This window comes from Homo sapiens, chromosome X (genome assembly GCF_000001405.40).
Source record: "Homo sapiens chromosome X, GRCh38.p14 Primary Assembly".
Lineage (NCBI taxonomy): Eukaryota > Metazoa > Chordata > Mammalia > Primates > Hominidae > Homo > Homo sapiens.
In genome coordinates, this window is record NC_000023.11 from 31905290 (window position 1) to 31931455 (window position 26166).

General features: G+C 37.6%; 1 protein-coding gene across 20 annotated transcripts in view; it reads right to left on the reverse strand.

The window, feature by feature from the left end:
• Positions 1–26166, reverse strand: part of DMD (dystrophin) — a 2220167-nt gene that overhangs the window by 786068 nt on the left and 1407933 nt on the right. For all 20 annotated transcript variants that reach the window (XM_006724469.4, NM_000109.4, XM_011545467.2 and 17 more), the window contains 1 exon segment: positions 24307–24456. In XM_006724469.4, coding sequence (XP_006724532.1) covers positions 24307–24456 — 150 coding nt within the window.

Sequence of the window (26166 nt, forward strand, 5' to 3'; positions counted from 1 at the left end):
TCACACAGAGACGAATGCTAAGAATCTGTTAAGCTTGCTTTTAGGGAAAAGGATGCCTCAAAGTCACAAAACTTTTTAAACTTGGTTCTTTGGGGGTGAAAAAGCAGGCATATTTTTCACCAATTTTCTAAATTTTACATGTTAAATTGGAAGTAAGATTTATGTTAAACTGTTTATTAAAACATATTAAAGATAAACCATGTGAGAGAATGGAATCAAAATGGAGAATTTCCTACCTTGCTCACTTCAACCAATTAAGAACATAATTGGTAGCAAAAGATGAAGAGGGAGATTTCAGGTAAAAGAGAACAGAAATTAAAAAAAAAGGAAGGGGGGAGAAAGGCAACAGAGACGAGATGGGGAAAAGAGCAAAGGGGATTAACACATCTTGAGAGGGTGAGATGAAAGTGTGAGGAAAAAGTAAAAAATTATAGCATGAAAATAGAGATGTAGTGTACTAACATGTAATATAGAGTTGATGAAGACATGTTGGAATTAACTTCTGAAAATTGTTGATGAATGCACAGTTTAGAAATGACGAATAATAGTTCTATTCCATTTCCATTTAAAGGATAAAGGCTTCAAAATGCATGAAAAATTATAAAGTGAATTTTTAAATGGTTCATGAAATCTCAGCTTTCTGAAACTAAATTAGCTTCTTTTGTTTTTCAGATTCGAAACTCTATGATATGGTTTGGCTGTGTCTGTACCAAAAGCTCATCTTAAGCTGTTGTTCCCATAACCCCCACACGTCCTGGGAGGGATCAGGTGGAGATAATTGAATCACGGCGGGCGGTTACCCTCATGCTGTTCTTGTGACAGTGAGTTCTCACGAGGTCTGATGGTTTTATAAGGGGCTTTTCCCTCTTTTGCTCATTCTCCTCCTTCCTGCTGCCATGTGAAGAAGAAGGTGTTTGCTTCCCCATCTGCCATGATTGTAAGTTTCCTGAGGCCTCCCCAGCCATGCTGAACTGTGAGTCAATTAAATCACTTTCCTTTATAAATTACCCAGTCTCAGGTATGTCTTTATTAGCAGTGTGAGAACAGACTGATATATTTCATTCCATACAACACCAACCAGGTCTCATACCAGGTCTTGTAGATGATACCAAATAAACTCTCTGAAACATATTTTTCCTAATTCTTTTTGTCCCATTGAATTGTGAAATTGTACACTTTCATCTACAGCAAATATTGGAAAGTTTCTGCATCTGGAAGATTTTGAAAGTGAAAAGAATTATCTTATATTGCCATGAATGACACAGCCCTTGATAAATGAGTAGGAATATGTGAGATATTTACTTTAAAATTGTCTTTAAAGGCAATATCCATTCTATTATTGACATCATAACATTGAGTGAACATATTATCAGCCAGATTTAGTAAAACTGTACAGTGAATTTTCCAGAGATATCCTTGTATAACATAAGTCATCTAGTCTCCACAGAAATGATTGAAATTCCTTGACTAGACTAAGCAGCTCCATTGGTTACAGTAAATCCAAACAATTTCCCCCTCCAACCTCACCTTCTACTTTATGCTCACATCTACTTTTGTTTATGATCTCAATTTCAGGTCCATGTCTTAAATGTAGACCTACTAAAATAGGACATTTACTCCAAATTTCAATTCCTTCCCTGGTTGCAGCCATGTTTTGAGACACCAGAATGTAAGACACACAGAAACAGAAAATACTGTGGAAGGAAGAATCAACATCTTTTCAACTTATTGTGATATAAATTTGAAAAGCTATGACATGGAATTCTGATTCAATTGATATCCATGATCTCCTTGTAAGTACCTGAGTACTGAAGCCAACTGTCTTGATTTGGGTCTCCCAGTAGCAAACCCAGAAATAAAAATTTGAGCTCAAGTAGTTTTGGGATGTGATTCCAGGACACATCAACAGGGTGAGAAGAAGTGAAATAGGGAAGATAGCCAATAAAGGGTATATTATCATGCAAGTCATCAATGTGAACAACTGAATCTTAATACTCCCTGTTATCCCTAAAAGAAGATGTAGGAAACTAAGGCTACTGTAACCAAAACAGCATGGTACTGGTACCAAAACAGAGATATAGACCAATGGAACAGAACGGAAGCCTCAGAAATAATACCACACATCTACAACTATCTGATCTTTGACAAACCTGACAAAAAACAAGAAATGGGGAAAGGATTCCCTATTTAATAAATGGTGCTGGGAAAACTGGCTAGCCATATGTAGAAAGCTGAAACTGGATCCCTTCCTTACACCTTATACAAAAATTAATTAATTCAAGATGGATTAAAGACTTACATGTTAGACCTAAAACCATAAAACCCTAGAAGAAAACCTAGGCAATACCATTCAGGACAAAGGCATGGGCAAGGACTTCATGATGAAAACACCAAAAGCAATGGCAACAGAAGCCAAAATTGACAAATGGGATCTAATTAAACGAAAGAGCTTCTGCACAGCAAAAGAAAGTACCATCAGAGTGAACAAGCAACCTACATAATGGGAGAAAATTTTTGCAATCTACCCATCTGACAAAGGGCTAATATCGAGAATCTACAAAGAACTTAAACAAATTTACAAGAAAAAAACCAACCTCATCGAAAAGTCGGCCAAGGATAGGAACAGACACTTCTCAAAAGAAGACATTTATGCAGCTAACAGACACATGAAAAAATGCTCATCATCACTGGTCATCAGAGAAATGCAAATCAAAACCACAATGAGATACCATCTCACTCCAGTTAGAATGGTGATCATTAAAAAGTCAGGAAACAACAGATGCTGGAGAGGATGTGGAGAAACAGGAACACTTTCACACCGTTGGTGGGACTGTAAACTAGTTCAACCATTGTGGAAGACAGTGTGGCGATTCCTCAAGGATCTAGAACTAGAAATACCATTTGACCCGGCCATCCCATTACTGGGTATATACCCAAAGGATTATAAATCATGCTGCTATAAAGACACATGCACACGTATGTTTATTGCGGCACTATTCACAATAGCAAAGACTTGGAACCAACCCAAATGTCCATCAGTGATAGACTGGATTAAGAAAATGTGGCACATACACACCATGGAATACTACGCAACCATAAAAAAGGATGAGTTGTTTATGTCCTTTGAAGGGACATGGATGAAGCTGGAAACCAACATTCTGAGCAAACTATCACAAGGACAGAAAACCAAACACCGCATGTCCTCACTCATAGGTGGGAATTGAACAATGAAAACACTTGGACACAGCGCAGGCAACATCACACACTGGGGCCTGTCGTGGGGTGGGGGGCTGGGGAGGGATAGCATTAGGAGAAATAGCTAATGTAAATGACGAGTTAATGGGTGCAGCACACCAGCATGGCCCACGCATACCTATGTAACAAACCTGCACGTTGTGCACATGTACCCTAGAACTTCAAGTATATATATATACTTATATATATACTTATATGAAAGATGTAGGGAATTAAGCTTGGAGTTATTAGATCTGAAGGGCAAGGGGGACAGGGTATTGATCTATCAACTGCTGCTCTACAGGGGCATAACTGCTACATTTCTGCTCTCTCCCAAGAATGAGCAGAGATAGCCCCAAGCAAAGAGATGCAAGTACAGGAAGTTGGAAATTAAGAAGCACGTATAAAAATGGTAAGTGCTAAAGGGATATCGGTGGGGCACCGACAGTATCTGCTACAACACCTCATACATTTTTTCCTTAAATGATCTCCACAACCTGCCTACATTTGGAAAGTATTGTTGTAATGTCAAAATTACCATTCAGTTTCATTAATTGACTAAAAAATCAAGTCAAAGCAATGTGACAGATATTGGTTGGTTATCTTTTCCTAATTCATCTATCTATTCTGTCTACCTGTCTGTTTATCAGTCAATCATCTTTCACCCTTACGTTCCTTTGAGGAACTTTGCACCTACTTCTCTACCTTTGTTGTGGTGCAGCTGTAGAGTTTGGTTGAGATTTAATGACTTTTAGCTGTAGAAGTGAGGTGTGATTTAGTACAGGAATGAGCATGTGACCTAATTCAGGCCAGTCAGTTTCAGAGCAGTCTTTCCTGGATGCTTTGGGAAAGAAGGTCCCTAAAGAGATGATTTTCATCAAAAGTAAGTTTGCAGATGTGGGTTCTGAAACGGCTTCAGGCCATTTTTGTCACCAAGAGGGAAGTCAGGTGAAGCTGCTAGGTCAACACAGAAAAATAGAACCCAGAGAAATGTGAAAAAAAAAAAAAAAAAACAAGAAACAAAAAACCGGAACCTTGATCATATTTATTGTTTAAATCAGTTTGAGACCAGTTTTCTGTCACTTACAGCATTAAGAGAACCAATAGACGCATTAAGTCAGTTACTTACAGGCATATTAGTTAGAACTAATCCTCCATGACACTTCACAGAAGGTGAAGATTCATGCATTTTTAAAATAATTCATTCTATCATTTTACTTGAATATCATAAAAATCTCTCGGTTAGTGTTAACAAATAATAGTTTTCTTTCGTTTTTCTAACACCTAAAACCATATTTCATAATCCCATAATGTGAAATAGTGTGAATAATATGTAACAGTTCAAACATTATGTTCCAGAAGAGAGAGATTTTTATTTTTTCTTTCTATTTTTTGAACTCCAGAGAGAGATTTTTAAATTTGCAGTTTGAGATTAGAGCTTTCCAACAGCTGAAGTGTTTACTATTTTGAGAGAAGACTTGCGAAAGCAAAGGTTAACCTAGTAGTACCTGCTGTGCCTTCGTTGGCAAATGAAGGAAAATCACACAGATGGTGGCATTTGCCTGGGAGTTGGGTGCCAGGGGTGTCCTCTCAAAGGCACACAAAAAGATAGAATGAAATGTCTCTCTTTTCTTAAATATGTGGATGTGGATTTGTTGGAAAAAATTACTTTACCCACACTTGAAAAGTCATCACCACTGTCACCACCACCACAATCAATCAATTTAATAGTGAACATGTATTAATCCTTTAGTATGTACCACATTCTCCCTTGCCAGGCAAGCAAGGAATTCAGCTTTGTTCTAGACTGCTGTTTGGCACAGTCTTAGGTTATTCTCCTTCTAACAGTGCAAAGCACTTAGAATACAGTCGATACACAGTAAGTTATTAATAAATATTAACTATCATTACCTAACACACTGAGGAATCTTTAACTCTCCCAAGGAGTGGGGAGGACTTCAAAACAGGAATCAGTTAAATTTCTCCTTGGACCGTCTAGTGCAGGCTTGGTGTAGATATAAAAAGAAATAAAATATTGGTACAAACTAAATGCCTGACACATCTGAGGTAGAAACTAACGAACGTTGTAAGTGAAATACTGCTGTGGGCTGAGGATAACAGGAGGCCAAGATGGATCTTGTTTGGAGATGACAAGGCAGGCTCTATGGGATTAGAAAGGAGAAGTCAGATTTAGAGATTGGTGGTATTAAGAGAGAAGGAAAAAAGGTAGACTTTCTAAGTGGACCAGGCAGGGAATCAGAGGCGAGGAAGAAAACAGAACAAATGGAAAGAACATTGGGTAGTCTCATTTTGATGGCAGCCTGAGTGAAAATGACCAGTGGGAGAAAATATCAGAAGATTTCTATAGCTGAATGACACAGGGGTTGGAAACCCAGGGCTAAAGGAGAAATTTATCAAGGAACTGTTTCCCTTACTAAATCCACAGCATCGCCCACATAGGTACAGACTTGTTTGTCTAGGATTTTGTGACTACATGGCAGTTTGCCTTATCAAAGTGAGTGAAAGGATGGGGAAAAGGGAAAGCAAGACAGGAAGAGAAAAAGAAATAGGGAGAGTGAGGCTCTTGTCACAATCAACTTGTAATTGCTGAACAGTGTGTTGGTGCTTTCATGTCAGAGGTAACATTTACAGAAATGACACATTTTAAGGCCCTGAGGGGAAGGCAGATTAGGATAGAAGCTTATAATGTATTGCTGCTTTATAGTTTTATCACTGTTTGGAAAGTATTTCATTTTATTTATAGCTCTGTAGGAAAATTACTAAAAAAATTATGATAACTAATACTTACTGATGTCTTACCATGTGCTGAGCTCAGGTTTCAGCTTCTTAAATGTGTCATTAGGTGACTACAAAAGTAAGTGTTGTTTTCACATTCATGGAACTTGCCATTTGATATTGAAATACATTCTTAAATAAATGTGATTATGTTATACATCATTTTAATGAGCATTTCTCACTTTTTTTTTTTTTGCTAATGACTTATTACTTGCTGTTTATTTTATGTTTATTTTAGACTATGGAAATGATGTTAGACAAAAAGCAAATTCGAGCGTTTTTCTTATTCGAGTTCAAAATGGATTGTAAAGAAGCAGAGGCAACTCGCAATGTCAAAAACACATTTGGCCAAGTTACTGCTAACAAACGCACAGTGCAGTGGTGGTTCAAGAAGTTTTTCAAAGGAGATAAGAGTCTTGAAGATGAGGGGCGTAGTGGCTGGCCATCAGAAGTTGACAATGACCGATTGAGACCAATCATCGAAGCTGATCCTCTTACAACTACACGAGAAGTTGCCGAGGAACTCAATGTCAACCATTTCACAGTTGTTCAGCATTTGAAGCAAATTGGAAAGGCGAAAAAACTCGATAAGTGGGTGCCTCATAAGCAGAGCGAAAATAAAAGTATCGTCATTTTGAAGTGCCATCTTCTCTTATTCTACGCCAACAACAACAAACCATTTCTTGATCGGATTGTAACGTGCAACAAAAAGTGGATTTTAAACGACAACTGGCGATGCCCAGTTCAGTGGCTGGACTGAGAAGAAGCTCCAAAGCACTTTCCAAAGCCAAACTTGTACCAAAAGTCATGGTCACTGTTCACTGGTCTCCTGCTGGCCTGACCCACTACCGCTTTCTGAATCCCGGCGAAACCACTACATTTGAGAAGTATGCTCAGTAAATTGATGAGATACATCAAAAACTGCCATGCCTGCAGCCAGCAGTGGTCAACAGAAAGGGCCCAATTCTTCTCTGTGACAACGCCCGACCGCACGTCGCACAACCAACGCTTCACAAGTTGAATGAATCGGGCTAGGAAGTTTTGCCTCATCTGCCATATTTACCTGACCTCTCAACCAACTGACTACCACTTCTTCAAGCATCTCGACAACTTTTTACAGGGAAAATGCTTCCACAACTAGCAGGATGAAGAAAATGCTTTCCAAGAGTTCATTGAATCCCAAAGCATGAATTTTTATGCTACAGGAATAAACACACTTATTTCTTCTTGGCAAAAATGTGTTGACTGTAACGGTTCCTACTTTGATTAATAAAGATGTGCTTGAGCCTAGTTATAATGATTTAAAATTCACGGTCCCAAACTGCAATTTCTTTTGCACCAACCTAATATATCTCAGTCCATTTTTGTAGGGCCATTTTTGTTCCTGTTTCCAGGTGAGAAAACTGAGACCACAGAGAGATGACACAGCTAGTAAGGAATTTGTGGAAGGCGATTATTTGGCAGCCCCACAATTAATCACGCCTCTTGGATTCATGCCTTTGTGTAGTCCCTTCTCATTTTGATTCTGAACTTGGCCATATGCCTGGCTTTGGCCAATGGGATAGTAGCAAGTGTGATACAAACAGAAGCTTGATAAGTCTTTGAAGATTGGTGCTTGTTCTTTTGGAAGGCTTCTTCACAGAACTCAACCACCAAGCTGTGGGGAAGCCAAAGGAGACACATGGAGAAGACAATGGAAACAAACTGAGGCTCATGGCCAATAGCTTTAGCTGAGTTCTCAGCTGGTAGGCAGCACCAACTGCCAGTCATGTGAGTGAGGCCATTTTGGACTTTCCAGCTTTCCCAGTGTCTTGGTTGATATCAGGTGAAGCAGATGAATATCATAGTCAACTCTCAGAATTATGAGAAATCGTAAAACTATCTTATTTTAAGCCAGTAACTTTTAGAGTGGTTTGTTGCATAGCATATATAACTGGAACAGAGTGAAATCAAAATTTGAACCAGGCAGAGTAGTAACATGTCGAACTAACTATACAGGATTAAAAAAAACAGCTTCTCAAAGTGAAGCAGAACTTTATCTTTATTTGTTTTTTGAAATAAATATTCTACATTGGCTATACCAGACTACGTGATATACTAGTATGCTATTTTACCTTACTGTGTCTCTCTTCCTGTTTCCTGCTCTTATGTGAATATACAGACAATCCTTTCTGGTGACATTATCTTTGCTCTCAGGAACAAAGAATGACCTTATTACATTTACCTATATCATCACTACCCCTTTCACATTTTAATTAGCACCAAATTGTAGAAAAACAATTATGTAAATTATTAGCAGAGATAGTGGCCTCTCTGTCTCTTTCAAGATTAATATGACTGAGTTGTGGTGAAGAATAAGTCAATGACAAGGTCAGCATCCATTCCAGAGGAAGATTTTGAAAAAAAACAAAAACAAAAACAAAACAAAACAAAACAAAACAAAACAAAAACAAAACAAAAACACTTAGGCATTTGGGGAAAGGCTGCTCTTATCACTGAGACATTTATTTGGGTAAGAATTTTTCGATAGGTGTATCTAGAACTAGAGAACTTCAGTGAGCTTTGCCTTCAAACCAAATCACAGTATCTTCTCTAATAATTATCTAAAAACAACCATTGCCTCCACTTCTGGACTGCGTCAGATCCACCCGTTTTATGCTCTCTTGCTTTCCTTGTTTGCATCACCACAATTTGAACTAAGCAATTATTACTTTGATGGTGGGATTACATAAAAAGCAACGATTTTTCTCATCCTTGACTTCAAAAAGCTTTATTGAATCATTTAGCTTAGCTTACATTTGAAAACTCAGAATGGAGTGGTGGGTATGGGGGTGTGGAGAGGGAGAGAAGTACTGGATTTATAGTCTAGGTCTTGCATAGGTGGTCGTCCAGCACTTACTGCTGTCTTTGTGCCTGGGCTGGAGAGAATGTGGAGAAAAGGAAAACCTTGCACACTGTTGGTAGGAATATAAATTAGTACAACCACTATAGAGAACAGTTTGGAGGTTCCTCAAAAAAGTAAAAATAGAGCTTCCCTATGATCCAGCAATCCCACTGCTGGGTATATACCCAAAGAAAGGAAATCAGTATATTGACGAAATATCTGCATTCCCATGTTTATTGCAGCTCTATTCACAATAGCCAAGGTTTGGAAAAAATTTAAGTGTCCATCAACAAATGAATGGATAAAGAAAACGTGGTACATATACACAAATGGAGTACTATTCTGCCATAGAAAAGATTGAGATCCTGTCATTTGCAACAACATGGATGGAAATGGAGGTCATTATCTTAAGCAAAATAAGCCAAGCACAGAAAAACATCTCATGTTCTCACTTATTTGCAGAATCTAAAAATCAAAACAATGGAACTCATGGACATAGAGAGTAGAAAGGTAGTTGCCAGAGGCTGGGAAGGATAGTGGAGGAGTCGGGGAGGGGGCAGCGGGATGGTTAATGGGTACAAAAAATACTTAGGAAAAATGAATAATACCCAGTATTCGATAGCACAACAGGGTGACTATCGTCAAAATAATGTAACTGCACATTTAAAAATAAATAAGAGTATAATTGGATTGTTTGTAACACAAAAGATTAATGCTGGAGGGGGTGGATCCCCCGTTCTCCATGATGTGATTATTATGCATTGCATGCTTGTGTCAAAACATCTCAAGTACCCCATAAATACATACACCTACTATGTACCCACAAAAATTTAAAAAAATTTTAAAAAGAGAGAATTGGTTGTGGTAGGAGCAGATAGCATAACTTTCACTTTATAGGTCACTGGACCATGAGGAACCATATCTTGATCTGATGGAGAAGACAGTGCATCATCCACAGACAATGGACTTTTAGCTGGATGCAGTAAGTGAATGAGACTTTGACTGGTCTCTCTTGGGAAGGCACTGTGTGTTCTCTTGATGATAAGAAAGAGAGTGCATGGATATTTGTGGGACCAGCATGGAGATTTTGAAATGCAGTATTATATTGAGAATAGTATAGCTGCCTTGCTAGCCTGTGTTCCTTTTTAGAGCAGAGACTACGTACCTAGGCTGGACTTTATGTGGGAAAGATACACATATCTATATTGTTTGAAACATGGAAACTTGGGGTATTTTTATTATAGTAGCTCAGTCTACACCCTGAGAAATCTGAAAAGACAATGAGAACGGCTGCATTTGTAATTATATAATCCATTTTAATGTTTGTCCCCCTCCAAATGTAAGATCCATAAAGACAAGTGTCTGTCTGTTCATAACTCTATCCTCATTCCTTAACATTATACCATATTGGAAACACTTAATAAATACTGAATGTATACATAAACCAAGGTACTGTTTCTATACTCCTAGGATTTTGCATAAAGTATCTTTGAGGATCTTTGTGACCCTCTAGACTATTGGCTTTTGAGAATATTGATACTGTGTCAATATTACGTGAGAATCAGGATTAGTTGATTAGAAATCTGAATACATAGGAATGCATCTTAACTGAATACCTTACTTGTGAGGGGGTGAGAAACTTAATAGATTGCAAGGTGTGGTAGATTGCACTGGTGACCTCTCTGTATGCACATCTTTTTGCAATGTGACTTTTAAAGTTGCTACCATCAGGAGTTGTAACCTATTTCCCTAATCCCTGAATATGGGCCTGCCTTGTGATTTGCTTTGGTTAAAAAAATGTGTTAGAAATGAGTGAGCCAGCTCCAAGCTTAAGCTTCAAGAAGTCTTGTTTCCTTCTCTATTAGAATCCTGTTTCTTGCATGAGAATAAGCCCAGGAGCGCTTGCCGAAGGATGAGAGACCATATGGAGCAGAGGTGAATCATCCTAGCTGCGCTTATGCTAGATAAGCCAGCCCCTAGCCCACCCATTAGCTGACTGAAAATGTATGAGTGAGCCAGAACAACACAACAGCTCACGGGACCCCACAGACTGTGTGCAATTATAAATGGTGATAATTTTAAGTCAATAAGTTTTAGGGTGATTTGTTACATAACACTATTGCAAATTTTACACTATTGGAGTTATTACTTAACTGATATATAGGGGAAAGCCAGAAATGGGAGTGAGGCTTGGTACAGTTAAGAGTTCTTAAATAATACCAGAGTCCTCAATCCTAAAATTACTGATTTTGATTTTGAATGAGTATCTAAAGTCAGGCTCAATTCTTTGCAAAGATGTCTGAAGAGACATTCATGGCAAATCAATGGGGGTAACCACTGAAAAAGTGATTTTAGAAGATCATTATTAGAAGACCTAATAATAGCTAGTATTTTTTGGCCACTTACTCTGTATCAGCTGTTGCCCAAAGCAGTGAAAGAGGGAAAGAAATACCCTGAAATCTCCCCTTCTCCTGCTCTCCAATCTCCTGCCAACGCCTCCCACTGGTTAAATCTATACAGAAGATAGTTGAGAAGAAAGCCTGAGGAATAAGGTGAGTGGAGGTGAGCTTCTTGCAATATACAATATATTGCACAGAAAGAGGAAGGAAATTGAGTGAATCTGTGGGAAAGTTATACTTGGGTTATGAACCCCACAACGATCTATGTTTCAAAGGTATAAATCATTTGAATGTGTTCATATTTTCTGTCAAAGTTGATATGTATCTTCTGTGGTCGGATGAATGTGCTTCATAAATATCAAGAGACAAAATCTTTTTGCAAAGGCCTTTCCAGTATCTCAGAACACACTGTATGCATTCCATTGAATGGGATTGGTGGTCAACTCCTACACAGACTCTTGATAGCCACTCTCTACCTCCCTACCATTTAAGAAGTAGAGCAAGGGGACCAGGGAACCAGCATCTTGAAATTAGGGGGGGAAATGCAGAACCTCAGGTCCTATGCAAGAGCCATTGAATCAGTAACCTGATTTTAACAAGATCTCAAGGTGATTCCTGTTTCAGTAAGTCATCAATTAATGTTGTTGATAGATTCTGGGAAACTGTGACTTAGGCAAAATGACATATAATGAAACCAATCTTACCATAGGCTAATTGATAAACAAGAATTAAGTTCCTACTGCATACCTGTGTTCACAAAACATGATCCAACATCTAAATAAAGACCCCAAGCACTTCTAATATTAAACTCAGAAATAAATGTGAGATATACATCCACTTTAGAAAGATTAATAAAAACCAGGAGGAAAATTATTTACCCAGTTTTTGGTGAATCAGTGAGTGACAGTGTTTGCAGTGGCGGTGGTTCATTCAAGGAATAAATGTTTGCAAAGCATAAACTGCCAGGATTGCCTTCTCTCACCACAAAGTTCAAAAACAAACAATAATCAATATGGCAGCTCACTGAGCACTTCTGTAGAGCATCAATTATTGTCACGCATCTTTATGATTATTGAATACTATATGAATTTTTATTTCACAGTAATTTATATTAATTCAGTCATTCATTTTCCAAGCCACGTATTCCAGTTCAGGGACTTGGGAGGCCAGAGCCCATCCTGGCAACTCAGAGCACCAGACAGGAGCCAACACTGGCAGGGATGCCATTCTATCGCAGGGCACAGTCGTAGACACATAAACACTCACATGGGGACAATGTAGACACACCAATTCCCCTAACGTGCACAGTTTGGGACATGTGAGGAAACCAGAGTACTAGAAGAAAACCCACAGAGACAAAAGAAAACCCCACATAGACAGTGCCCCCCTAGCTGAGATACAGTTTTTTCCCTTGCCAATATTATAACACAGTGATGCTCAATGAAACAACATTATTCAAGGACCTGCCGTACATTAAAGTTTGAGAAGTTCTGCTCTACGTGATGGCACGTGGATCTTTACCCCTTACCACTGCTATTAGAATTTTATGGTAACCTACTTTGTAATAGTAACCACAATTTAACTCCTCGTAATAAAGTATGATAGTATATATTGTGTTTTTAGTTCCTCACTAGACGCTGGGAGATGGGCAAACATGCTTCATAATGCATCACTGTTGGACAAATGAGGAACTAGAGGCACTAAGAGATTTAAATAAGTGGCCCACAGTTATGAGTTAGTGAGTGTTGAACCTGGGTCTAGACTGAGTTATGAACTGCAAGTTTAGTGATCTTTCCAGGACTGAGATGAGGCATGGAGAATAAGAAGGTGGAACGGTGGCACTCATTACACAAACCATTAGAATATTTGAGGCCACGTTGGGAATTAACCACACGCGAACTGAGAAGCTGGAAAGGGGTATCTTTAAGAAAACTAATCCTTCACCCGAAGTAGAAATGATTATTTAATCATACTGCATTCTAGTTTCAGCATAAAGACTTGAACATGTTAATGTCAACATCTTTTTTTTTAATCTTTTTTTTTTTGTTTGTTTGAGACAGAGTCTCACTCGGTTGCCCAGGCTGGAATGCAGTGGCGTGATCTCCTTTCACTGCAACCTCCGCCTCCTGGGTTCAAATGATTCTCCTGCCTCAGCCTCCCAAGTAGCTGTGATTCAAGTCATGTGCCACCACGCCCAGCTAATTTTTGTATTTTTAGTAGAGACAGGGTTTGACAATGTTGGCCAGGCTGGTCTTGAACTCTGACCTCAAGTGGCCTGCCCTCCTTGGCCTCCCAAAGTGCTGGGATTACAGGCGTGAGCCACCGTGCCCAGCCTCAACATCTTTCTTAATTATTTTAGTAATTAAAATAGTTTTTGTCTGCTCCCAAACTATATGAAATCTTACCCATAGAGTGTCTTTTCTATTAATTTTCCTGTTTTGTGTGTTGGCCTTTATTTGTTCTCAATGAATAAGGGCCTATATAGCACCTGAATATTAATTTTTTTCTCTTCCTTAACCAGCAGCTCAGTGATTCTAACATCACTGATAAAATACACATCACTGATGAAAATAAAACAATAAAGCAACCTCTAGGAGATAACTGCAATGGTCTAAAATTTGTCACAAAAGTCATAGCACCAACAGAAGCAATCTTCATGATAGTCATTTACATTGCAATTGAGTTCAGAATGTTCATTCTTTTATAAAAGTTTCAATAAGTCCAAGAAGTACTGTCCTATTCAAAACTGTTGATGTCACCCACATCACAGTCAGAATGTGTCACTTTCACAAAAAAATATTTTTAGACTGCATTTGAGGTATAAGCATCAGTCATCAGTCACAGGTTGCCTGCAGAATGTAACCATCAGAACAAATAGAGTTTTCTTGAAATACCCTTTTGATGACTTTGGTTTCCGGCCCATTTGCTGGTCCATCTCTTTTCCCACCACACTTGGCCAACCATGCCAAAGATGGACTATACTTGTCCCGGTGATAACTGAAAATGTTCACAAATTATAAGTGCAACATTCAGCTCAAATGCTTTCATTTCCACAACAAAATTGATGGATTTTCTCTAGCAACAAACAATGAAATGCTCTCGTCAATGTCTTGTAATTGGTTCTAATATCAGCAAGCCAATCAAAAGGGAGAAAAACCAAATTTCTCCATCAGGCCCTTATCAGCCCTTTTGTTACCCATACAGTGGTCTTGCCCCGAACCATAAGGTGGATAAATGAGGGGAATGCTGATTTTGGCATCCAGCTTACTTTCAGATAATCTAGCTCATCCTTCTCAGCTGACACGAGACAGAAATAACATCAAAGGGTGATAAACTCTTTCTTGCAAACCTGGGGTTCCATGGTTCACTGGCCCCAGGCCTAATCCAACAATCCATTTTCTACACAATAAAAGGTAAGAAACCCATTACAGATCTGTTATAAGCCTTGGCAGGTGGTATACGGCAAAAATGGAATACACAACCAACCCAGCATTTGGTATCCCTTTTCTATGGTTTGAAGCACTAGGGGTCAGCTGACATGAATATAGTAGTCAGCATTTAGTATTAAGTTATTTTAGCTACATAAATAAACTCACATCTTGATGTATGAGTATAAAGATTTGACAGAAAAGTTCATTTTTGGTATGATTCTGATCTTTAATAAAAATCACCCTGTTATTTTACTTTTGTATGGCATATTGGCTTTGCAGGTGATATAATAAATGAAACTGGGTTAGAATTTACAATATGTGGTCTTAAATATGGCCTTTAATCTTTGTTCCTTATTTAACCTCAGTTTAAGGAGTTGGCATATGAAAACTTCCATTTAATATCATTTCACGATTATTAAATTATTAGAAAGGAAGGAAACTCCCTCTAGTCTCAGGGTTGGTGCTATGTAAGTAAAAGCATTGCAGAAACAAAAGGAAAGAAAAAACATTTTATATTAGCAAAATCCCCTTTTATTATGTCATTTCTTCTCCTTTCTAGAAGTCATTGCTTCAGGCAAACACCTTTGTGCTAATAAAGGAGTTACTTAAAAATGCTACACTGAAGATGCAGAGTTATGAAATTTTTCTCCTCCTTTCTCTTTTCATCATCATTTATACTCTTCATCATTTTAAATCCATCATGAACGGGGAGGAGAGATTGCTAAGAATAGTCGAATTTGTTTTTAGTTGAAAATTAGCTTAACTTTTAAATAAAATCTAGGGCACAGCATACTTAAGTGACACATTTACATGCTTGATATACATTTTCAGTATGTAGATAGTGGCAACAATGAAGTTTCACTATGGAAATTAGTTGTTACACAAGTATCAGTGCTTCACAATTTATGCTGGATTTTTGTTATATTTTTTAAAACATTATTATATTGGAATGAACAAATTATCTTGTATTTGGTGAGGTTTCCTAATAGAAAATTATCTAGCTTCAGTGTAACCTTCTACAAATGCTTTTCCTTTACTTTGCCAAAATGAGGGAAACTGATGTCAAAAATAAAGGTAGGGGGAAGGGATGGGGAAGCAGTGTGAAAGTTTACTTGCTTTCTGCTTGGATTTCTGGGTTACAATCAGGCCAATAGATTGATAAAAACGATGTTCAGAATTAAAAGTCCTCTGAATTATGTTCATACTTTAAAAGTGAGAATGCTGGTGTTTGAAAACAATGCTGGCTTTGTTGGGCTTCTTAGGCAATAGGAGGAGAAAAATCTATCATTTTCCAACACATTTTAGCTGAAATGCTAGTTGGTCATAGAAAATGAAAGTAATATCAGCGGAATAGGAGAGCAGTGGCTGAAAATCCTCTGTGCCTTCCACGAGAGCCATTTGGTTGTCTTGCTGCCTCTAACTCTCCTCTCCTTCACCTGTTGCATTCATAATAGTAGCACATAGTTCAGCTTTCTCCCCAAGAGCCATATTTACAACTTTGATTAAGAAGGTGAGACTTTTGGAGAATTTGGAGGTGAGAATCAGAGATGATTTTGTGCTTGCTCTTTGCATTTTTCTATTTTAGTATTACTCCTACTGTTTTTAATCTAACATTTTTTGAGCAATTACAATATGCCAGATACTGTGTTACACATTTCCCATTTACTACCTCATTGAATTTTCACCACAACCTGGGGAAGTGTCTTCTTTTAGTATTTGAATTTTATGGATGTTATAACTTAGGTATGGACAGAGTAGGTATAAGATCACATAGCTGGTAGCAAGTGGAATCCATAATTCATAATCTCATCATTAATGCCTGCAGTAAATTACCTCCTCATCACTCCTGTTTACTTTTTCCTTGTTTGTAAAGTGTCTGATCCATATTCTTGGCATTGCCTATATGGTATTATAGTACATACTGGTTTCTATCCAGGTTCCTGGCTCATAACACCCATAGCCCTTGTTACAGTTTTTTGTTATAATGTTGGTTGCGTTGGGTCTCAGGGGCAGGCCTCTGACCTTCTCCTGCTCTCCTTTCACTTTAATGTTCCCTCGCCTTTCAGATTATAGGTCTTAAAAACCTCCTGTTAGAGGGTCCCACCATATACCCTTGGGGAAGGAATGCTGATGTCATGAAGCTTCCATAAAAAACAAAGAGGACAGAGTCCAGTGAGCTTCCGGGTAGCTGAACAGGTGGGGATTCCTAGAGGGTGGTGCACTCAGGGAGGGCATGGAAGCTCCATGCCCCTTTCCGTCCCTCCACCCCAACCATACCTCACCCTATGCATCTCTTCATCTGTGTCCTTTGCAATATCCTTTATCATAAACAGGTGAAAGCGAGTGTTTTCCTGAGTTCTGTGAGCTGCTCCAGCAAGTTAGTTGAACCCAAAGAGAGGGTCATGGGAACCCCAACTTGAAGCCCATGGGTCAGAAGTTCCAGAGGCCTGGACTTGAGACTGGTGTGTGTGTGTGTGTGTGTGTGTGTGTGTGCGCGCGCGTGCGCTAGGGGGGTGCAGAGGAGGCAGACCTCGGTACTGAGCCCTCAATCTATGGGATCTGACACTATCTCTGGGTGGATAGTGTCAGGACTGAATTAGAGACACCCAGCTGGTGCCTGCTGTTTGGTGTATGGGGAAAAAAATTCCACAAATTTGGTCATAAAAGTCTTCTTCTGTGTTGACGATTGTTACGATTTGAGAGTAGAGAAAAAACACGGTTAGAAAGAATTTTCCATACACAGCGTAACATTTCAATAATTTGGAAAGTTAAATGTCACGTATTCTTATATACTATTGTCATTAAAGAGTGATTAATTCGGTAATAATGGCAATCAGATTTCTTGGATAGGCCGAAATTCTCAGCTGAACTAAAGTATTAGGAAGGTAGATGATGATGACAAGGACGATGATGCTACTAAGAACAAAAGCAATCATGATAATAATAGTTATTGAGCACTGGACCAAGCCTAGCTCTAAAAGCCTGATGTTTGTTCTCATAACTAGAGTGACCCTCTCTATATATTTTATCTTCTAAAGTGGAATACTTATGACAATGAAAGAGGGAGCTATTAAAAATTATGATAGGATAACAGGCAAAAACCAGAACAGTCAGAGCAAATTGAGATGTACTCATGACACACAACCTAGTAATAAACCTCATGTCAGTGTGAAATTATAGGAGGCAAAGTCAAGGATGCTTATGTTATAAACTTTAAATTACTACTCCCTTCCCCCAACCCTCAGCTTCAAACTGTTTAGCAACTATAAATTAGAGATATGAATATTTATAATGCCAAGCCCTATAAAATTATGCATGTCCTTTAAATAAGGGAAGGGTGGGAAGTGATTATGATATGCTTAGAACAGAATGTGGCACATAGTAGTCCTTTAATAGATAGCTCTTGAATAAATAATTTAATTACAGCTTTGCTGTAATTATTAACTACATAAAGAAAACATCCAAATAATGGATTTCCAGGAACTTACATAAAGAAAACATTCAAGATAATGGGTTTCTGGGAACTATCAGACTATATGCCCAATAAATAGGTGAACACCCTTTTTTTTTTTTTTTTTTTTTTGAGATAGAGTCTTGCTCTGTCGCCAGGCTGGAGTATAGCGGCATGATCTTGGCTCACTGCAACCTCCTACTCCCTGGTTCAAGTGATTCTCCTGCCTCAGCCTCCCAAATAGCTGGGATTACAGACACATGCCACCACGCTCAGCTAATTTTTGTATTTTTAATAGAGACGGAGTTTTGCCATGTTGGCTGGGATGGTCTCGATCTCCTGACCTTGTGATCTGCCCGCCTGGGCCTCCCAAAGTGCTGGGATTACAGGCGTGAGCCACCACACCCGGCCCGTTTTCTTATATAATAGCGTTTTAGCACACAGATTTATAAAATTAAAAACTGTGTGAACTGTGTTACAAATACACTTCAAGGGAGAAAATCATGAGCACATAAAAGCTCCAGTGGAACTATCTGGTCCCTGCTAAGACTTCCAGCTAGAGAAATGATTTCCTATAATGATTATTATACTTCCTACTATATATTTTACAGCATTTTTTTTTCCGGGGTTCCATAAATACCAGTCAATATGGTAACAATGCCAGTGAAGATTCTATTATTTGGTTGAAAAAACATCACGTTAAGGGCAGGACTGAATGGTAACTATTAGAACAATCTATTAATCGTCATCTTGTGATAGGAAATTGATTGGACAAAGTGTCCATTTTTGAGCAAGGAGTCGGAAAGCCAAGCTCTAGCTTTATTTAATTTTCTCCTTTTTGCTATTCACATTTATACTGACGACTAATAATGACTGTCATTACATAGCAAATACGTCTGGAAAAAGACTAAACATTCATTTACCTTATACAAATGAAAATAAATCTGAAATGTTTACTCCTCAGATACATATTTAGAAGCAACATGATTAGAGATTAATACAAAATGAACCAGATTTCTGGAAATTTAGATACAGCCAACTGTATATTGTGGAAGATAGTTTGTGCTAGGAGTTGCACTGTATTTTTACTTTCATAATTTTTATTTGGTGATTTTTTGAAAATAATACCTGTATTATTATCAATATTACAAAAATTATTCCCATATTAAAGGTTTGTTATATATGTTGTATTTGTAAACCTACCTTTTTCCTCGGTAAAGTGAATAAGATGCACTTAACTAAAATTCACTTTCCAGCCAAATTTCTTAATTGTTTTCCAAAATGCTTTTTTCTTTATGTGCACCATTTTATACTGTCTGGGCAGTAACAAATTCAAATAGTAATTTACCATTTACATATAAACAGTATATCTTATTTGTAAATGGTATTTTATGTGTAGATAGTAAATTACTGTTTACATGTAAAATGCGATGAAAAATTTAAACTTATTTAACAAAATGACAACATATTTATTAAAACTAATAGGAATGCATAACGTACACCACCTGTAAAATTACTTGACATTAAAAATAGTAGGATTTTAACTAATTCTGAAACAACATAAACATGTTTTGCTATATTACACAACTGTAAATGTTCCACAGCAGAGAAGGTTCTAGAAAGTAATTTTAAAACACAGCATCTAGTTCTCAAAAAGGGCAAAAACCAAAGCAAAAACTCATATAGTTTTTTTAAAAGAAAATAAATCCCCATTTTAATATTAGGATATTATCCACATAAAAATCACTTGAGCTTCACCAAAAGGTTAAAACCCCTACTGTTTATTTTGGAATCACTTTTATATTTAAATAGAAAGCTACATGGTCTCAAATAAGTCACATAACCTTTCTAGGACTCGGTGTTCAAAAATAAAGAATGATAAAGCATATTTTGGTTTTAAATAAATGGGTAGTTAAAAAAATACCCACATATAACATATACAAAGAGCAATGAAGAATGAGGAAAGGGGACACAAAATAAAAAGACATGAAAGAGATGAAACTGGGATTAACGGGGTCAGGGAAGGAGAGCAGAAGAGAATGTGTTACATAAACAACTGGGGCAGAAAAAGAGTGGCAAATATGCAAATAGAAAAGTAGATTCATGGCCAGGTGCGGTGGCTCACGCCTGTAATATCAGCAATTTGGGAGGCCGAGGTGGGCAGATCACCTGAGGTCGGGAGTTTAAGACCAGCCTGATCAACGTGGTGAAACCCCGTCTCTACTTAAAATACAAAAATTAGCCAGGCGTGGTGGTGCATGCCTGTAATCCCAGCTACTCGGGAAGCTGAGGCAGGAGAATCGCTTGAACCCAGGAGACAGAGGTTGCAGTGAGTGGAGATCGTGCCATTGCACTCCAGCCTGGGCGACAGAGCAAAACTCTGTCTCAAAAAAAAAAAAAAAACAAAAAGAAGATTCCTAATAAATATATAAAAATAAATTCCTATAATATACGTGTCAATTCATAGATGAAAATTAGCCTAAAAGTGAGAAACACAGAGGAAGAGAGTGATGATGATGGCGAGAGAGCCTCCTACACCCACATGCATGTTCAGAGAAAATACAAAGAAATATGAAGAGGGATAAATATTAAAAACACCTGAGTCAGAAGTGTGGGTGAAGATCATAGAATGAGATGATCAGAGAGAGGAACACAGAGGCTAGCTTTAATAACATCCCCACTTTGTGGCTCTTACGGGTATCATTGTTAAAGGCTGTAAAAGGTCAAGTTATGTATTAGACAAGAATGAGGATATCATTTCATGAGCCTTCATTGCATGAAGCTACCCATAAATTTACGCTAATGGCTATATTCAGTTTAAAGCAACCCTGTCCACCACTCCCTTAAAGAAATAGCTATATTATCTTCACCTGCTGTTTTCTCTCTTCAGTAATGAAATATAAATGTACAGGCCGGGCGCGGTGGCTCACACCTGTAATCCCCGCACTTTCGGAGGCTGAGGTGAGCAGATCATGAGGTCAGGAGTTCGAGACCAGCCTGGCCGACATGGCGAACCCTCCATCTCTACTAAAAATACAAAAATTAGTTGGGTGTGGTGGTGCGCGCCTGTAGTCCCAGCTACTCGAGAGGCTGAGGCAGAAGAATCACTTGAACCCGGGAGGTGGAGGTTGCAGTGAGCTGAGATCGTGCCACTGCACTGCAGCCTGGATGACAAAGCGAGACTCTGTCTCAAAAAATAAATAAAAAAAAAAATAAAATAAAGGTACAAGAGTAAGGGGTCAGTTGGCTCAATACGCAGAATGCAGCATATTAGAGTTAGCTGTGGAGAAAGTCACCTGCCAACTGATTATGATATTAGGATATGTTTGGAGATACTATGTACTAAGGAATTGACATATTCATGTCACAGTAACTATGACCCACTAGTTCCAATTATATCACCCACTCTAACCTTTGGATGAAGGGTAGGGCTGGAGGACACAGGGAGGGGGTCCGCTTTATTTCTACCCTCCTGTAATAAGTAAGAGCTTGAGATTTAATGAAGATCAAGACTGTCTGCCAGTGTTATAAGCCATTTTCTTTTACTTTTAAAAAAACTTGTGTTATTTACCTAAATCTGGTACTGATCATTTGCTTTCTATCCCTAAATCTAAACTAACAGGGATACAGAGGCATATGGATGGAGAAAAGATGATTAAATAATTTTAATATGACTAATGAATAAAATTCCAAATCCTGTGGCATTTAATGGCAAAGACATTGCATTAAAATTATAATTTTGGCATAGGAAACAGATATTATGGATGCTGTAGTAATATAAGTCTATACATGATGGTGTTCGTAACCTCAGTTTTAATTTTCTATCATAAAAATTTGACTTTTTATTCTGTTGCAGGACACATAAAACCTTGACTCTTTCACAACCCACAAAGCTGCTATTGTATATTTTAGATAGTTCTCTCACATTTCCTACAATTATAATTTTTGTTCTTCTTTTTGTCATAAGATGTACTGAGATATTGTAGAACATTTTGGGTATCCTTCCTCCTTGTTCTCTTTTTATGAGGGATGATTTCATTTGTATTGTTATGTAGCTATAAAATTTAATTGCTGGGACACCACCTTCCCTCCATACATAAAAGTCTGTATCTTTACACAGATGTTTTGCAATCATTAAAGGTAGAAACCAAGAAGGGATTTTTTTTTTTCAAATAACTACCTGCTTGAAATAGAGACACTTAAGCGCACATTATGGTTTTAATGTCATAAAATTGGTACTTATTTTAGTTCCTAAATATTTTATCAGTCGTGTAAATGATCTGTTATTAGAATGTCAGCATCACCAATTTAAAAAATACAATAAATAACCTGACACAATTCAAAATGTTCACAAATTAGATGACTCAGTATCGTAAAGATGTTGACTGAGCTCCAGATTCACAAAATTTCAATCAATATCCTGGAAGGCTTTATGTAAAAATAGACAATATAGTTCTAAAATTTATTCAAAGAACCAAAAGTAGCCAAGGCAATCTTGAATAGGAAGAACAAAGTGGAAGGTTTACACAACCAGATCCAAAATGTTTAAATAAAATGATTGCGTATATACATACAATGGAATATTATTCAGTCATAAAAAGGAATGAAGTTCTGACACATGCTACAACATAGATGAACCTTGAAAATATTATGCTGAGGGAAGTAAGGCAGACACAAAGTGGCAAATATATAATTCCAATTATATAAAAGATCTAGAATAGCCAAATTCATAGAAACAGAAAGTAGTCCAGAGGCTACTAGCGGATGGGAAGAGAGAGAAAGGGGAACTATTGCTTAATGGTTACAGACTGTCTGGTTGGAGTAATAAAAAATTTTGGAGGCTGGGCGCGGTGGCTCACGCTGTAATCCCAGGACTTTGGGAGTCCAAGGTGGGCGGATCACCTGAGGTCAGGAGTTTGAGACCAGCCTGGCCAACATGGCAAAACCCCATCTCTACTAAAAATACAAAAACTTAGCTGGGCATGCTGGCAGGTGCCTGTAATCCCAGCTACTAGGGAGGCTGAGGCAGGAGAACCACTTGAACCTGGGAGGCGGAAGTTGCAGTGAGCCGAGATCGCGCCACTGCACTCCAGCCTGAGCGACACAGCGAGACTCTGTCTCCAAAAAAGAAAAAAAAAAATTGGGGGTGGGGCATAAACTGTGGTGATGGTTGTAATAAATGCCACTGAGCTGGACACACGAAATGACTAAAATGACAATTTTTTATGTTATATATTTTATCACACCTTAAAAAAGTAACACCGAAATACGATTGAATTGTTCACTTTAAATGAGTTTAATGGTATGTGAATTATAGCTCGGTAGGATTGTTTTAAAAAAAAGATTGTAATTAAGCCAGTGAAGTACTGTTGTTAAAGTACAGATTTAATCAAATGGAAGAGGATACAGAATCCAGAAGCAGATTCATACATACAAGTTCTCTTGATTTATGACAAAGATGCCATGAAAATACAGTGGGGAAATGATTGTCTTTGAATGAATAGTGCTGGATCAATTGATGTTGCTTTTTACTATAAATTCATATGTACCACTTGCTTTATATAAAATAAATATGTATTAATTTAATAAATAGTATTACTGTTAGATTTATATAGTATGCAAGGTGGAAAGATGAAAACTCACAAGTTAATAAATCAGTAGGTAAGTAAATAAATAAACTTGTGGCGAACGTTAGTGTACATTAATTATTAAGTCCATACCACAGGTGTGAATAATTAATTTTGATTTATGACACTTGTTTAACTAGAACCAGACCACGTCCTTTCAGCTTAAATACTGTCAGTACATGCCTGGCCACTGAATTAAATACTTCGCCATTTCTTCAGTCTGATTCTTCAGAATAATTTATGCAAAAAATTGTGGTATAAATTTTGGCATTTGGTCATTAATGTAAAGCCATTCACCATCATCATTTTTTCTAGCCACAACAAAACATATAGCCAAAGCAAACGGTCAGGTTAAAAAAACAAAACAAAACAACAATCCACATACCAGCCTCCTCCCCGACCAATGAAGCACCCAGGAAACAAAATACATACAAATACTTGCAACATTTAACACATGTGACGGAAGAGATGGTTAATGTCTAACCTTTATCCACTGGAGATTTGTCTGCTTGAGCTTATTTTCAAGTTTATCTTGCTCTTCTGGGCTTATGGGAGCACTTACAAGCACGGGTCCTCCAGTTTCATTTAATTGTTTGAGAATTCCCTGGCGCAGGGGCAACTCTTCCACCAGTAACTGAAACAGACAAATGCAACAACGTTTAAAATGAATTACAGCACAATTCCAACTACCTTGTCTTTGCTTCTATTGATTAGTCTATCAAAATGAAGCGACTTGACCGAGGGCCCAGTGGTACCTCAAATACCAACAGTTTTCTATCTGAGCACAGAGCTGATTGACTGAAACACTCACCCCCTCAGTAGATAAATCTCTGTAGAAAATAAACGATTATATTATCCCTCATAAATTTTTTAAGAGAAAAATGTGAGATGGTAAAGCAACACTCCAAATAAAGTTAGTGTCTGAAAACCTATCTCTCTATCAGAAATAGAACAATGTGAACAAATTCATCAGCCTCTTGGGTATCATAGCATGCCATAGCATACCGTAGCTTGCTGCTGAGAAATTGCATTATCATCTTAAGAGGTAACTGACATTGAGAGTATTGACTCTCAATATACACAGTGCCAGGCACTGTGCTAACCTTTTCACATTTATTATCTTAGTTTATCTTCATATTATAATAATTATATCAGGTAGATCCAATTATCTTCATTTTATATGGAAGGAAACTGAGACAAAGGGGTTAAATACCAGCTCCCAGGACACAAATCTAGCAAGCAACAAAGGTGTGGTTCAAATTTGGGTAGTTTCATTCTGGAGTCCTCATTTTTTACTTCATATCCCTAAATTTCTCGAACTCATTCACCACCACATAGTGTATGCCCTTTCCCAAGACCTCCAAAATCACCATGGTGTTAACACTTCATTTTTGTCAACTAAAGTTACTGTGTCTGCTACAGTACCCATTAGCCATACAACGCTATTAACATTCAAGTTAATCAAAATTCACTAAAATAAAATCTCAAGTTCCTCAGTCACACGACCAACTCTCCAGGTATTCAAAAGGCACAAATAGCTAGTCGTTACAAAAATGGATGATGCAGAATATTTTCATCATCACGGGAGTTCTATTTGAAAGCACTGATCTAGATTCTTTCAGGAGAAAATAGACTCATGCATATTAATTAATAAGAAAATGCCACTAAATATGTTTCGAATGAATTATCAATTATATTACTATATATGACACTCAATACATTTGGGAAAGATAAATTTCCAAGAAAAGACTGAGTTCATTGTTCTAGGGTATAACCATCTTCAAATGATTCCCACTCTTTTCTATTTTTGAATCCCAAATACCTAGTAAAACATCGGATGTATAGTCAGTGCTCCATATTTGTTTATTGAATTACGCCATATTTTATTTTTATACTTTATTTCTTGTTCAGGTGTAAACCTCTTGTTTCACAGAAATAAACGTTTGACATTGGACTCTAATTTACATGTGTAAAGCACCTGAATCATTGATAAAGGACCAATTTCATTTCCCTTTGATTATGTGACCGTGTAAAATGAGGATAATAGCAACCATTGTCAAAATCTGATATGAAGATTAAATAAAATAGTGGCTGTAAATGTATCTAATACTTGGCACATAACAGGGAATGATTAAATATTAATTTCTCTTCCCCTTTCACCTTCTGCTTGACAACTAAAATGAAATAGATCCAAAAGAGCTGCTTTCCTAAAACTAAAACCATGAAAGTTAATCCAATTGCACAATCAGAGCATGTCAGTCAGCCAAGGGAAGTAATCAGTAATAAGCAGACATCACAGTAGGACGGTATGAAAAGCCACTGGAATAAGCTGGATGTCTATTCA